Source organism: Homo sapiens, chromosome 4 (genome assembly GCF_000001405.40).
Source record: "Homo sapiens chromosome 4, GRCh38.p14 Primary Assembly".
NCBI classification, from domain to species: domain Eukaryota; kingdom Metazoa; phylum Chordata; class Mammalia; order Primates; family Hominidae; genus Homo; species Homo sapiens.
In genome coordinates this window covers 155,822,654-155,839,328 of record NC_000004.12, presented here as the reverse complement: position 1 = coordinate 155,839,328, position 16,675 = coordinate 155,822,654, and the positions used below count along the sequence as shown (strand labels likewise).

General features: G+C 37.0%; 1 protein-coding gene across 2 annotated transcripts in view; it reads left to right on the top strand.

The window, feature by feature from the left end:
- The window catches only part of ASIC5 (acid sensing ion channel subunit family member 5), a 36,549-nt gene extending 26,949 nt beyond the window's left edge, over positions 1–9,600 (top strand). For both annotated transcript variants that reach the window (XM_017008291.2, NM_017419.3), the window contains 4 exons: positions 460–516; positions 2,472–2,640; positions 7,414–7,505; positions 9,283–9,600. In XM_017008291.2, the coding sequence (XP_016863780.1) occupies positions 460–516; positions 2,472–2,640; positions 7,414–7,505; positions 9,283–9,473 (509 nt within the window). In that variant the 3' untranslated portion in view covers positions 9,474–9,600. The remainder of the gene's footprint in view (positions 1–459; positions 517–2,471; positions 2,641–7,413; positions 7,506–9,282) is intronic.
- The last annotated feature ends 7,075 nt before the right edge of the window (positions 9,601–16,675 follow it).

Genomic DNA, 16,675 nt, shown 5'->3' with positions numbered 1-16,675 from the left:
ATGGAAGATGTACAGAATGTGCCAAGTTTCCCCTAACTGTGTGGTCTTGAGCAAGCCACTCTTTCTGAGGCTTAGTTTCTTTATCTGTAAAATGAAAATTCTCATATGACAGGATTGTGAACCATATCAAATGAGATGATAACTGTGAAAGTAATTTTAAATTTGAAAACTACTCACATTTGAAAATTATTATTCCCGCTTAAAGATTTTAGAGTGATATAGACAGATGGAAAGAGGTATGGAAAGAAACAAAAGCATTATTCTTCCTCCCAACACATATTTTCACTGGATACTAACTTGATTCCATAGTTTTGCTTATGAAAGAATAGATGTTCATATAGAAGAATGGGTGGGTGGATGAATGGATGGATAGATGTAGGTAAGAAAGGTATTTTTGTCATTAGATCACTTATTTTACAAAATGTAAAGTCTCTATATGTTACACTTATTATTTTTAAGGATATGGGATAGAATGTGACCTACAAAAGTACTTCAGCTGTGTTTCTCCTGTACTTGGTAAGTGCTTAATTTACTTTTATTTTCAGGATTTATATTAAAGTTGCTCAAAGTAATATAAGACATTAAGTCAAACTATGGATAGCCCAGAAATTAAACAGAATATAGTATATAAGAGAAGATCTTTTTGTAAGTGTTCTTAAATAGTAGCTAACAAACACAGGCAGTATACACAAACAAAAACCCTCTGATATTAAGACACATCTAAATTTTTAAATTTTGTTCTTTTTTATAATCAAAATATCCTAGCTGCTTTTTATTGTTTCACAAATAAAACAAGTTTATTGTGAATAGTTAAAATACTACAGAATAGAAAGGAAATCATGTAAAAATAAATAGAAGTTTTATTACTGAGAACTCCTCTCACTGATTGGGAATAGTCCTTCATTCATTCACTTTATTGCATGCACTTGGCATATAAAATTTTTTCATAAATGGAATTATAACTGTACATGCCATATTTATTGGGGACAAGTTCTTATTAAAGAGCCCCCTCTTTTTTTTGCTTTCACACCTCTTACCTTAACCTGCAATAATCGCTAACACTTTAGTATATCCTACTGTAACTTTCTCCACATATACATCTCCATATTTATCACGTGAAGTCATTGGTTGTTTTATTAAAACAGAATCCCAATATATACCCTTCTATGCAACTTGCTTTTCTAACCCATTGTGGAAATATCTCCAGGGTAGCAGGAATAGATTTAAAAGGTTCTTTTCAATGGTTGTAAAATATTTCAAGGTATGGCTATAGGTAGAAGGAATCTTTTTTTATGTAGATCACAGGCTGAATATACAAAAGCCGTATTACTAACCAATAGACTTGAAATGATGTTGCCAGATTTCTTCAGATTTCTTATCCTTGTTGGAGGCTGGAGGGAGAGCTTGGGGAAAAAAACCATGCATGCAGTTTAGCGGGGACTGTTGTGGGATAAGGAGGTCAGAAGAGTGTGTGTGTTTGTGTGTGTGAGAGAGTATTATGTACATGAGAGTATATGTATGTAAGTGTGTGTGTGAGAGTATGTGCATGTGAGCCTATGTGTGTATGGGAGTGTATGAGTGCATGTGAGTGTAGGAGAAGAGTGGTGGTCTTTGCCAGCAATGCTAAAGAACTAGCAGATGCATGCTTTGACTTCTCCTAGAGAAGTCAAAGTTAGAGTCTGAAAAGCAAACCTAAAGTTGGTCAGTAACCAGGAGGTCTTGGTAAACAACTGATTCACGAGAACAAAGGGTTTCAGTATCAAAACCAAAGGAAAAACAAGAACCTGAGTATCTACCATGAATGAGGAGCAGTGAGAATGAGCACTGGGAGGTGGTCCAAAGGGAAGCTGGAGACAAACACTACCTGCTACAGGGACTTTTTTCTAGTATGCATTTGCATGGACAGCCTGGTTGCTCTGAAGGAGCCAAGAGAGATCACTGAACAGAGAACCTCAGTGGTTGATTTGGAAGTGACTGGGCCAACAGAAATAAGGAACTGCAAATACTCAGGAGCACATTTCTTACCATTGTATGTTGAGACAAATCTGAAGATGTTTACACACTTTCCATCTTTCTTCTGTCCAAATATCTGATATTTTACAGAAATAGACCCAGATATTCTTCTGTCCAAATATCTGATATTTTACAGAAATAGACCCAGATATTCTTCTGTCCAAATATCTGATATTTTACAGAAATAGACCCAGATACTTCCTGAAAATAATTTCTTAAATCCAATAAAGATCCCAATCCAGTGACTCAATGAATTCAAAGATTGGAACTTCCAGGCCTTATATTGTATCTCCTCTGCTATATTCAGAGTAACATATTTGTTTCAGAGTAAACACCATTTGTTGTTGGTAACCACCTTTTTTTAATATTGAAAGTGAAATGATAAACTTTATAAAACTATCCTACCCATGATGAAATATTTCTCTTCTCTGAATTCCCTGTCCTGATTTTCATTTCAGACCACATTGAATTTAAGGATTTATGTACAGTAGGAACACATAACTCTAGCTGCCCCGTTTCTTGTGAAGAAATAGAATACCCGGCCACTATTTCTTATTCCTCTTTTCCAAGTCAAAAAGCTTTGAAATATCTTTCCAAGAAGTTGAATCAAAGCCGGAAATACATCAGGTAACCTTACTAGCCTTTTAAATTATTGATAATTAACATAGATTTTTTTTTCTTTATTGAAAACCCTCAAAGACTCAGGAAATGAAATTCTAATCAATCAAGGGAGGCAATGGCTTTTTTCACTGAACTGACAATGAAACCATAGAATTTTAAAAGTAAATAAGATCATATCTTTCAACTCCTTACTGTAATTGTGTGAAAAGGAAAATGATGCTTGCTTGAGTAACTTGCTCATGATCAAACATTTATTGCCCAAACTGGGGAAAATAATAATGTTGACTGATAATAATGGATGCCTTAAAATATGAAAATTTCCTACCTGTACATTATACACTTTGAGTCTTCTAATAACTGTACAAGGTAGATGAAACAGAAATTAATATTCTAATTTTACAGAAGAGGAAACTGAAGGACATCGTATTTTAAGAAATGGTTCTGTGAAGGTAGTCAGGGGCCCAGAAAGAAGTTATGCCCAAGAACTTTGACGCTGGTCCCCATGTCTTTGCAACTCAGATACATGATTCCACGTCCCCTGATTAACTGAGAATTAAATTAGTCCTCTTTCTGCTATACCATACAGCCTCTTAAAAATTACAAATCAAGCTTCATAAATAACTCTTCGTTTTTTAACAGGGAAGCAACATTAGCATTTCTCTTTGTTTCTTCTTTGTATTTTTAGGACTAGGACATGAAGCAGCAATATATACAGTATATTGGTATTTGTAGTTATATCTATTAAAATAAAAATATGTTAACTAACTTAAGGTTGACGTACATTTTCACAGATGTGTGCATAATTTGGAAAGCATGCTTAGATTCCAATGTTAGCCTTGTGCTTACTTTAATAAAATAAAAAAAAATTCCCATGTAAACGCTGAGGTAACAAAGTGATCTTTACAGAAAGAAAAAGCATTTTCATCAAAACAGGGCTAATGGAGTGATTTCAAACAGCAGATAAAGTGATAAACAGGCTGTAAAATTTACAATTATGTTTGTTTACACTTCCGACTCCAGCACAGACATCTATTTATATATTTTGTTTTAATGTGGGAAACTGATTTGCTTTTAATATTGTTCCTGATGTATTTAAATATGACTTAGAAGAGCACTTCCTGTGTCTTTTGGTTGATAGAAATCTCCTGAGTTTCATAATTACTTAATATACAGAGAAAGTAGGCATGATTTTGGAGACATACTGGTGAATCAGAAAAGAAAGCCATGTATGAAACAAGAGGATCTTAGGGAATGCTGTTTTTTTTTCTTTTTTTTTTTTTTTCCAAAACTCAGATTATTCTTGAAACGGGAGAATTCTCTGATTCCCCTTGCAAAATGTGCAACAGGGTGTTGCTCGCCTGTTCGGTATCCCCGCAGCTCAAACTCCTATGGAGAGCATGCAGACGGGCAGGTGCAGAGGCCAGGGGGAGCGCTTTGGGCTCCTACCCCATGGTAGTGTCTAGCATTGGGTGCCTGCAACCCTAGGGTTACAAAGCTCTTTCAGCTTTGCTGTCTACAGATGGCTGGAGGGTTAATCAGCTCAATGGACCCTCTGCCTTATCGCAAGGGCAGAGGGCCAGTGTGACAGCCTTCTGTATCCCAAGGTCTTTCCCAGTGTCCCAGAAGAACTGGATTACACACGGGCTCGAAGGATGGGTGCAAGGTTTTATTGAGTGGTGGAGGTGGCTCTCAGTGAGATGGATCAGGAGCCAGAAGGGGGTATGGAGTGGGATTGTGATCTTTGCGTGGAGTCAGGCAGCCTGTGACTAGATTCTTCTCTGAACACCCCCGGCCGAGCTCCCCTTGGTGTTCAGATGTGCCTTCTCTTCTCTCTTTCTCTGCCACATCATTTTGCCATCACTGGTTTGTTGATCTGTTGGTCTTCTCGTCTCTTCTGGAGCTTGGGGTTTGGGTTTCATATGGAGGCAGGATAGGGGGTGTAGTGGGCCAAAAGGCAACTTTTTGGATGCAAAAACAGAAATGCCTGTTCTCATTTAGGGCCACGGGTATCCAGGTCTGAGGGTGGGCCTTTGCCAGGGAACCGCCCTCTTCTACCCAGTATTTTTCTGTTTCCTGTCCATATAATTATTAATTATTATCCAATTAATCCTATCACATAATGTACATGTAGGGACCTTACATGGTTTTAAATAGTGGAGGCCATTACCAGGAAGACTAAGGTGAGCAGCTGAACAAAGGTGGCTGGACTCAGGGGTTGTTCAACTCCCACACAGAGACAGTTAGAAGTCACACATATAATTAAGCAACTGGTTTGTGCAAAGGTACTGGAAATTAGAGAGTGGTAAATCAGAAAACAGAAGTGCAGTTTGTCAGGACGGCAAATGTGAAATGTTAGCAGCAGTCATTTTAAAAGAAGCGACCCCTAACTTAACCATGGAGGTGTATGTTTTTGTCTTCCTGGGACAGAAATAAATGCTACTTCATGGTCAATCCACGGCCTCATGGGGCTGCTGCTGTACCTCAAAATGTTGAGAGGCTTAGCTTGACTGTAGCAGGCAGTGTGGAGTTTACCCTTGAAGATAAGGGTAAATTGTGTCTGACGTTAGGCCAACTTCATTAGTAAAACAAGTGAATTTTAAAAATTGTTCTGTTTTAACTTAACAAATTTTGAAATAAAAATTGTATAAAATTGTTTTCTTTATGCCAAATTAATTCATTCCCCTAATGCAGCACTCCTGTTCAAGCATCTGGAAGCTTTTTTAGAAACTATTTTGTAATACAATAAAAAAATTCAGTTTTTAGTTTTTACTTTATAATTGTGCCTCTCCTGACACAAATATTTTTGGACTCAAATCCTGTTAAATCCTGGACAATTTCACTATTGCCATGAGGCACAGATTCAGTGAGACCCAAATGATTGGACAAAACAACTGCCTGAGAGAAGTTGAGCAAATATCACAATATTTTTGCAGGGGAAGAATTTATCTTCTCTCAAAATCACAGGTGGATAATGCTTGGATATGATTATGAATGTTGTGCTTGGGAAATTAAACAATATTATCAGTGCACATGCAAATTAGGAGCACAATGGGGGACAAAGAGATTGGAATATTACTAAAATTTCTGGACTTCCAAGACAACTTTATTTTTCCATTACTTTGGGAACTGTTTTATCATTTGTAAATATTACTGTAATCCCTGATTATCTACTTAAACATAGTACATTCTCCTGTTACTCAGGGTTAAACCAATGGAAATTAAGTAAACATATTAATGATATATTTTGAATTAAGTATATTTGGAATTATTGATTTCAAAAATTGTAAACATTAAGGAGAGTGATTTACAGCCATGTTCTTTAGGTGTATTAAAGATCACCACATAATTCTAGGAAACTCGGCTAATAGTATCCACTCTTAATGAATACTATTATTATTATTGCCATTTTAAAATCATGAGGTACTTGGTTTCAGATTCATCTTATAACACTGACAGGGTAATATTGATCCATTCATTTGGTGGTTTCATCTTTAATTTGCTCCCTTATTTGTCCATTTTACATATATCTAAGGGACAACCTATTATTTGTTAGGATTCAGGAGTCGTCTAGGTATTAGAGATACCTCAGTGTATAAAAGACAAAAATCCTGCCTTGCTGCACTCCTGTCCACTGGGATGGAAATTGGTGACCACTGTATATAGTCATGTCAGATGGCATTAAGTGCTGTGAGAGAGTGGCAGCAGAAAAGCAGTGTGGGGAAGCCAGAGTCAGGGAGGGTTGTTCTCAGGGTTGTGGATTATTGTCAGGAAAGTCCTTCCTGACAATATTTGTTGAAGTGGGGTGCACTAAAGTTGGAAACAGAAAGACCAGTTAGCAAGCTATTGCAAAAATCCAGGTGAGAGGTCATGAAGGCTTGGGCAAAGGTGGTAGCTTTGAATGGGGTGAGAGGTCATAGGAGTCCAGATATATTTTGAAGGTAACATAAAAAATGGGCTTTCCTGATGGACTGGCTATGGAGTGTGAAAATTTACACTATAAATAAGGGAAATGTGAAGGATTTGACTTGGAACGTATTAAAGTTGGAACATCTATTAGACATCCAAGTAGAAATATAAGAATGAACTGAATATATTATTGAAGTTCAAGGTAGGGGTCTAGGCTGGTGATAGAGAAAGTGAGGGCTTTCAAGACCGTGTAACGAGCTATTAGTATCATTTTAAAAGATGTTTAGCCACTCTGGTCATGTATAAAGATTTCAAACAGACATTAAGAAAACAGAGTCTTTGCCTAGGTATATTAATGACACATAGTTAATAATTAGTATTCATCGAACACCCAATATACGTCAGGCTCTGTGTCCATTTTGCATATACATAATTTAATTTTGCCTCACTGCAACTCTGTGAGCTCAGCTCTAAAATCCTGACTACTCTTGAGGAAACCATGACTTAAAAAAACCAATGTGATTTCTTGAAGGTCATGTAAGTAACAAAAGACAGAACCAAGATTTGAATGAAAATCAAACACACATTTAGATGTTTGTAAATATTTTATTCAGTAGATATTTACATTTAATGTCTTTTTCTAGTTTCTCAGGAATGAGGTGCAGAAAATTATTGGGGAAAATTATTTTTTCTTAAAAACCAACATGACAAAATGCCTTCTACATCCTGCTAATTGTGATTAATATTAACAATTCTGTGTCAGTTTAACATTAAATAGCATATAAAACAAAAATGAATATTACCTTTATTCGACGGGAATTAAAAGTAATGCTGACAATCTTAAGCTATATTAACTCTCTTTTTTATCCCTAGGGAGAATCTTGTAAAAATTGAAATTAACTATAGTGACCTAAACTATAAGATAACCCAGCAGCAAAAGGCGGTGAGTGTGTCTGAGTTACTTGGTAAGTGTTATTTAATTGCTCCTTATTTTATTTATTTACTTATTTATTTTGAGACAGAATCTCGCTCTGTAGCCCAGGCTGGAGTGCAGTGGCGCCATCTTGGCTTACTGCAAGCTCCGCTTCCCAGGGGGTTCACACCATTCTCCTGCCTCAGCCTCCCAAGTAGCTGGGACTACAGGCACCCGCCACCACGCCTGGCTAATTTTTTGTATTTTTAGTAGAGACGGGGTTTCACCGTGTTGGCCAGGATGGTCTCGATCTCCTGACCCCGTGATCCGCCCACATTGGCCTCCTGAGGTGCTGGGATTACAGGCATGAGCCACCATGCCCGGCCTAATTGCTCCTTATATTTAAAAATTTTTATCAGTTTTTTTTCTTTGATATTTAAGGTTTAGCTTACCAGTGGAGGACAAGAATCAATTGAACTTGTCATTCAGCTGCTATTTAAATCTGACATATTTCCACTCCCTAGAAAACACTGTACAACCTCACATGGACTTTTATAAAGAAAAGGCTGGTGGTGTTTCATCTCCTACTCACACTCACATCAAACTTTACCATTAGATCCCTCATCAAGTGACTTTGTAGAATGTTTCAGCAATGCTACACCTGGGTAAATGTCAGCCACCTCATACCTCCACACAGGGCTCTACCCTAGAGTGGCTTAAAAAGAAGAACCTGAGGAAGCAAAATTAGGCAACCACTGCCTGCTCACTTGCCTTCTCCACAGTCCCTAATAAACATAATGGCTAATTTCCTAGATCTCACCGCATCTTAGAGGAAGCTGTGTCGGAGACAGAAGAAGGCCTTAGACTCAGGCAAAAGTGATAGCAGTCAGACATCACAGCTGAGACCCTGAATATGGAGGAAATATGTAAATTTGCCAAAGCTCTTGGAGAAGCCTATACTTCATTATCACACTTTACAAAAACGGAATGGTCCTAAGAATGGCCTAGGGCAATGAGATAATGATTAATAATGTAATCTGTTTATGAAAGCACTGCTGGAGTAATCAGATTCAGAGACAGAAAGTAAAAGAGTGGTTGTCATGGGCCGAGGAGAGGAAGGATGAGGAGTTAGAGTTTAATGCGTACAGAGTTTCAGTTAGGGAAGATGAAAACATCCTGCAAATAGATAAAGATTATGGAATGGCTGCAAAACAATGTGAACGTACTTAATGCCACAGTACTGTATACTTAAAAATGGTTAACATGGTAAATTTTAGGGTATATATATTTTACCACAATAAAAAAGCACAAACAGTAAATATAAGTACAAATTTTAAAATATCAAAAAGGCAATGTTATGTTAATTTTTGGTTAAAGGAAATATTATGAATGCATAAAAAGAAATACAGTTTTGACACTTGATGTCACAACTTGCTTGGAAATTAATTTTCTGGAAAACATCATCATCCAGTAGTGCCTTCTGGATGGCACTCTTCTGCTCTTCATTTAACACCTAGAAATGAGTTTGTAATTATCTAGAATCTCTAATGAATTTACCGAGATTTTATATCCTCCAGAGTCTTAGAGTTATATGTTTGGAATCAGATTTTATGTTTGCTTTTCTTCTCTGCTTTTTATGATGATTTGTATGAATACCACTTTGATATTACCAATTGCTATTACCTTATTCATATCAAATGTTAAAATAATAAAATTAACCAATCTTCATCTCAGTTATGACTCTATTTTGCTTCAACTAATTTAACTTCTAATAATATTTGTTTTTTATGAAAAATAATGACATTCAATCTTTATTGGTTTTATTACAGCAGATCTTGGTGGTCAGCTGGGTCTATTTTGTGGGGCCAGTCTGATCACGATCATAGAAATTATTGAATATCTATTCACCAATTTCTACTGGATATGCATTTTCTTTTTGCTGAAGATATCTGAAATGACCCAGTGGACTCCTCCACCTCAGAATCATCTGGGAAATAAAAATAGGATAGAGGAGTGTTAATGGTCACTTAGAATAAAATAGTTTCCTTTTCATGATACCTTCAGATTTATCTTGACTAATTCATTGTTACGTCACTTTTCTATAGTTTTGAGAGTTCGATAAAAGCCATTAAAGATATGTATCTCTTCATATATATTTCTTTCTATTTGTCTTTGTCTGTGTGTATATATATGTGTATATATATATGTGTATGTATATATATATGTGTATATATATGTGTATATATATATATATATATATATGAAATAAAGAAATAGGAATTATCTTTTTCACCTTTGTGTTCCCTCCACCTAGAACAGTCAAGATTATGTAATAGACATCTCATAAATGTTTCTCAATGAATGAATATTGGTGTAGTGGAAAAGAGACATTTTTTATGACTAAATATGTAAACTAGACCCAATAAATAAACTATACATGAGGAAACAAAATATTTCTTTATTCAAGAAATGATATGTATAATTTATGCTTTATAAAGTTTTAAAGAATTTTTATTTTCATTAAGATTCAACATACTTTTTTTTCCCTTTTATCTGGAGTGTTCTATTGTAAATGACTTTCGGAGGGACAGAAATCTGTTTCCCATACAGGTGGTACTTAACATCAATCTAAATGAAAATAAAGTTAAATCTGTACTATCTTGAAAATACATGGCATTTTCTCATTTTTTTCCCAAGTACTTCTATTTACATATTTAGTCCAGAGAGGAAACTCAGGAGTTTCAGTGTTCTCTCTCCCACTCGGGTAATAGATGTACTTTCGGTGTCTCAGAATATTCAATTAAAGGTGACTTTTAGAAGATTTCTCAAACATATTTAAGAAATAATAATCAAGTCAAAGAATCTATCCCCTAATTTATTCTTGGTGGTATTGCAATTTCTCCCAGATGTAAGAGAATAACTCCTAAAAGTCTTGATATTGTTTTCCAGCTTAATGATAAGCAAGTGCTAGTTCTGTGGGAATGAGGCCAGTGCAATTTCATGGTACTGACATTAGGAATACAAATATCTCATGACTCAGAAATCTCAATCTTGGGTAAATACTCTGGAGAAATTCTCCCATAGATGTGGCATGCAGCTTCTGACTTTATTGCAATTCCTCTATTTATCTTTTCTTTTTTGAGATGGAGTCTTGCTCTTTCGCCCAGGCTAGAGTGTAGTGGTGTGATCTCAGCCACTGCAACCTACGCTGCAACCTCTGCCTCCAGGGTTCAAACGATTCTCCTACCTCAGCCTCCCAAGTAGCTGGGATTACAGATACCTGCCACCACACCTGGCTAATTTTTGTATTTGTAGTAGAGATGGGGTTTCACCACATTGGCTAGGCTGGTCTCGAACTCCTGACCTCAAGTGATTCACCCACCTCAGCCTCCCCAAATGCTGGGATTATAGGCGTGAGCCTCCAGGCCCGGCCTACTTATCCAAATATTGATTCTAATTATAGCCATGTGTAACCCTTTGAATGAAATAACTTTTTTGCTTATCTGTAGTGGCGGAGATTATGAAAATGATGTATGGATGTTTTTTTTTTCCATCTCATTAGCTATCATTAGTGTTAGTGTATTTTATGTGTGGCCCAAGAAAATTCTTCTTTCAGTGATGCCCAGGGAAGCCAAAAGGTTGGACACCCCTTAATAAACTCAGCTAGAAGATACCATTCTTACCCCTTTTTTTCAATATATTGAAAAATCTTGAAACAATTTGTATTTTGAATGATTCATAGAAAGACTCCACAAATTTTGTTGTGTCTAACATAAAATGGGTCAAGTAGCAGAATATAATTGAGAAAACGCTCCTATTTTTTGAACTTGAGGAAGTCTGTATTTTAAGAAATATTAAGTATCACATATGGCTCATGAATTTATCTTCCAATATTCCTGGGATAAGAAAACGACAAATACATATGCAGTTGACCCTTGAACAATACAAGGGTTGGGAGCACCAAGCCCCTGTTCAGTGCAAAGTCCACATATCATTACGGACTCATCCAAAAGTTAACTACTAGTAGCCTACTGTTGACCGGAAGCCTTACCAATAACACCAACAGTCAATTAACACATATTTTATATGTTATATGTATTACACACTGTATTCTTTTTTTTTTTTTTTTTTTTTTTTTTTTTTTTGAGACAGAGTCTCACTCTTTTGCCCAGGCTGGAGTGCAGTGGTGGGATCTCGGCTCACTGCAAACTCTGCCTCCTGAGTTCACACCATTCTCCTGCCTCAGCCTCCCGAGTAGCTGGGTTACAGGCGCCCACCACCACACACGGCTAATTTAGTAGAGATGAGGTTTCATCGTGTTAGCCAGGATGGTCTTGATCTCCTGACCTCGTGATCCTCCCGCCTCAGCCTCCCAAAGTGCTGGGATTACAGGCATGAGCCACCGTGCCCAGCCTATACACTGTATTCTTAAAATAAAGTTAGCTAGAGAAAAGAAAATGTTATTAAGACAATCATGAAGAAAAGAAAACACGTTTACTACTCATTAAGTGGAAGTGGATCATTATGAAGCCCTCCATCCTGTCTTCTTCATGTTGAGTAGGCTGAGGAGGAGGAGACAGGGCAAGGGTTCGTCTTGCCATCTCAGGGGTGGCAGAGGTGGAAGAAAAGCCATGTAGTGCGGTTCAAACCCATGTTGTTCAAAGGGCAACTGTATTTTGAAAGAGATAAAATGGGGTTGATGTCATGGAAGAGCTAACTAGCTGAGAATGGAGATTATTAAATTTAAGCCTCCTTAAAGGTTTGGAAAAACAGATTGTCGATCAGTTTGGTTCCCACCAACTACATTTTATTTACAAGGTGACATGCCACTGCTATTAGTATGTACCTACATGAGGTAAGAAGCTTAACATTGTTTGTTATTATATCCCCTACCACCTTCAAAGTGGAATGAAAACACCTTTACTAAAATATGGGAAGAATGTGCTAGAGGCATGAAGAGCTGAGCTGACTCCTGAGTAAATACCTTATCTGAATATGAGGGATAGTGGAGCAGGAACACCTTTGAAACAGTTTCTGGGATATGGGGATGAGGATGAAGGTCCAAGGATACTCTCTGACTTTCTCGCCTCAAAAACATTTTTCTTATTTTACTTCATAGAGTTGTACCAGCTCTGGGATTGCACTTGTGTGCCCTGCATCCTGGGAAGAATCACCATGCAAACATTATGCTGATTCTTCAGAAAGTATAAATATTACCAAGGGAACAGATAGATCGAGTGAGGACTCCACATCATGTGGCTAATGGAGGACTGGCTGGAAATGCTGGCCCAGTGCCTCTGGTAGGAATAGTCCAGTAATCTTTACCTTTCTAACAGTACTCCTTCTTGAAAATGGACAAAAGGGGATGTTCAAGGAAGGCTGTTTCTGCTACTTGCCTGTAGATGGTAGAATGACTGAATGAGAAAAATCTCACCTGAAGAGGACAAGTCTGAGATGAGACAGGTGAAAATGGAAAGGGAGAAACTGTGAGAGATGGGAAGAGAGCACCTCAATGACAAATGGGAAAGGATGCTATTATTCTTTTCCTGAGAGAGAGCCTCAGAGAAAGATAGTTAAGACTCTTAATTCTCTCAAGGTGGGGTATGGGTCAGGATCCATGCTGAGATAACCCCTGGATTTGCTTTTCCCCAAAAGTGGAGAAGTGACCTGAAGGCAAACTCTGAAGTTAACCCAACAACTCTGTTTGAGTTATTCAAAGAAAGTGTATCAATCAGTATCCCTTGATGACCTGCCTAAAAGAAGAGCAGGTTGGAATCACAATTTGGGTTTTTTTTCCCTCAAGTTATGTTGATCATATTCATACTTCTGTATATCCATTTATCACTGGCGATTCACCCACAGAATATTCATAAAGGACCCAGGGGACCTGGCATTACTGGAAGCTGCCTGAAAAGATAATGTAGAGATACAAGGGACAATAGATGTTTCTACACTAATGGAGCATCCCCTTCCCAAACATCCTTGGAAAGAGCACATATCCTCAGTCAGGAAGGATTTGATAAGATCTTGATTGCAATAATAGAGCAGCAACATAAAAATAAATGAGCTATCAAGCCATGAAAAGACATGAAAGAACATTAAAGGCATATTGCTAAGTGAAAGATACCAATGTGAAAAGGCTACATACCATAGGATTCCACCGATATAGCATGCCAGGGAAGACAAAACTATTGAAACCATAAAGAATTTTGAAATATCAGTGATTGACAGGAGCTTGAGGGAAGGAGGGAAAAATGAATAGATGGAGCACACGGGATTTTTAGGGCAGTGAAACTAGTCTGTATGATACTGTAATGTTAGACACATGTAATTATGCATTTGTCAAAACCCATAGAATGTACAACACAAAGAGTGAATCCTAACATAAACTATGGACTTTAGTTAGTAATAAGGCATCAATATTGGCTCATCGATTGCAACAAAAGTACCACAATCATACAAGATGTTAATAATAGGGGAAACTGGGGGTGGTAGGTTAAGGGGGTATATGGGAGCTCTGTATTTTTCACTCAGTTTTGTGTGTGTGTGTGTGTGTGTGTGTGTGTGTGTGTGTGTGTAAACCTAAAACTGCTTTTAAAAGTGTATTTAGTCTGGGCAGGGTGGCTCACGCCTGTAATCCCAGTACTTTGGGAGGCCGAGGCAGGTGGATCACCTGAGGTCAGGAGATCGAGACTAGCCTCACTAACATGGTGAAACCCCATCTCTACTAAAAATACAAAAAATTAGCCAGGGGTGCAAATTAGCCAGTAGCTGCAATTTCAGCTACTCGGGAGGCTGAGGCAGGAGAATTGTTTAAACCTGGGAGGTGGAGGTTGCAGTGAGCTGAGATCGCACCCCTGCCTTCCAGCCTGGGCAACAGAGCGAGACTCTGTCTCAAAAAAAAAAAAAAAGTGTATTTAAAAGTTGGGAGGCAGTGGCTCAAGATGATAGAGATTCAGGCTAGAGGAGTACATTTGTAGGACTATTATGTACGGACTAAGCCAATGTCAATGATTCTCTGGTAAGAACACTCATGTAACATTGCTATTTCCTGGCCAGAGTGCTGCGAATGAACAAGGAATTTTCCCATTGTACATTCAATTGGTTGGGAAATAGATGGTCAGTGCTTCGTAATGATACCTAGTAATATGGTTTGTCTCTGTGTCCCACCCATATCTCATCTTGAATTGTACTCCCATAATTCCCATGTGTTGTGGGAGATAATTTGAATCATGGGGGCCGTTTCCCCCATACTGTTCTCATGATAGTGAATAAGTCTCATGAGATCTGATGGTTTTATCAGGGCTTTTTGCTTTTGCATCTCCCTCATTTTTTTTCTTGCTGACAGTATGTATGAAGTGTCTTTTGCCTCCCACCATGATTCTGAGCCCTCCCCAGCCATGTGAAACTGTAAGTCCAGTTAAATCTCTTTTTCTTCACAGTCTTGGCTATGTCTTTATCAGCAGCGTGAAAACGGACTAACACACCTGAAATCTTATGTTGTTGAAAAAATTTATTTCTTGAAGGCTGAGTTATGGTTATGCTCCCCCTATTGCAGATGGAACCTGAAGTTTCATAAGCCTCTGGTAACTACCATAGTAGCAGGAAATGCATGTTATATAGAAAATCTGTGCCGGAAGGTTTGAGAAATAACATGTTCATGTTAACAAATCAACTGAGGTATGGTATATAAAATAAAAATTTAATCTCTCCACTGAAGTTATATGTTATAATAAAAGATTTATGACTTTACTTATAGACTTAAATATAAATGAAAGGAGTAGACAATAATCCTAGAATGAAGATGTGTTTGTGGAAGGAAGTACCTGAAAATCTTGTTGATGTCATATCCATGGAGATTGAATGCCAAGGAAAAAACAAAATTAAGTTTGGAAAAGTTGTACCTGCAGTTAAATATCCCTAGCAAAACCTACTCAAAGGCAGGCAAATAATGGATAAGGAAGGAAATAAGTAGTTTAAGTGGTAAAGAATTATCACAAAAAAACCTATGAAATTTTTGGACATGGTTAACACAACTCAGATTTAACCAACATTATATTTTGGCATATTTCCATCCTATTTTATTTATATGAAATCATGCTATGTACATTAGTCTGAAAACTACTTTTCAATTTTACCTGTTTAAAGTGTGTTCATGTTAACAAATAAAGATGTGGTTTATTAAACTGTTGCACAAAATTACATCCATACATATATTATGGTTGATGGATTGATTTTCCCCTACAAATGCATATTTACATAGTTCCAAATTTCCACTTATAGCAAAAATACTGCAGTGAAATTCTGTATACATTACTTTTTGGTATGTACCTGGAAGTGAAATTGATAAAATGTTGTGGTATATGCATCTTTATCTTGACTACATATTGTCAAATTGCTCCCTGACATAACTGTACCAATTTATACAATCAATAGTAGCACATAAAAATTCAGAAATCCCCCATTATCTTGTGATAAAGATTTTTCCAAACTAATTTGTGAGCATTGATTTTTTGCTGTAAGAGCTCAGTAGGCATTGAAGGGCAGATGGAATTTGAGATGTCCTAGAGAACAGGAAATCATGGAAAAGTAGGAAGAAGCTGCAGCTGAAAGATGACTGGGTATCTGTGTAATTTTGATTGGATTCAGAAGATAGCAAACCTGCTACAGAAATTGTGATGCCAAAAGAGTCAACAGGGTGAATGAACAGTCACACTTATATTTTATCACCTGTAACATGATGGAGGGTATATTGTATGACTTTCAGGTAGGTATTGGCCAATCTACCTAATATAGATATTGACCAGCTTCTTAGGTTGTTTTGTTGTGGTGTGAAAAGATAATCGCAGTAAATGTCATAGTTACTAGGGAAAGAGTATTCTAAATAAGAATAGATTTCAGATAAGTGTTGGTGAATGAATTGTATTTTAACTATTTTTCTATAAATAGCGATCCTCAGAGGTTTATGCAATTTTTTTTATCGTGAACAAAGAACAAATATTTGAAATCATTCAGAAAACAAATAAATGTATGTAGTCAGCAAGAAATAAATGGCCAGCTTTAGAAAAGATGCCTAATGTAAGGACTGTTGTATTTACTTTGTTGCTTATCTTACTGAGTCATTCCATTACTAACATTCTGAAAGCCTAGTAGAGCTTCACTGCCTTCATCTGAAGGCAGAGTGAGTGTTGGCATGTAAGACATTACCTTTAGATTTAAGGT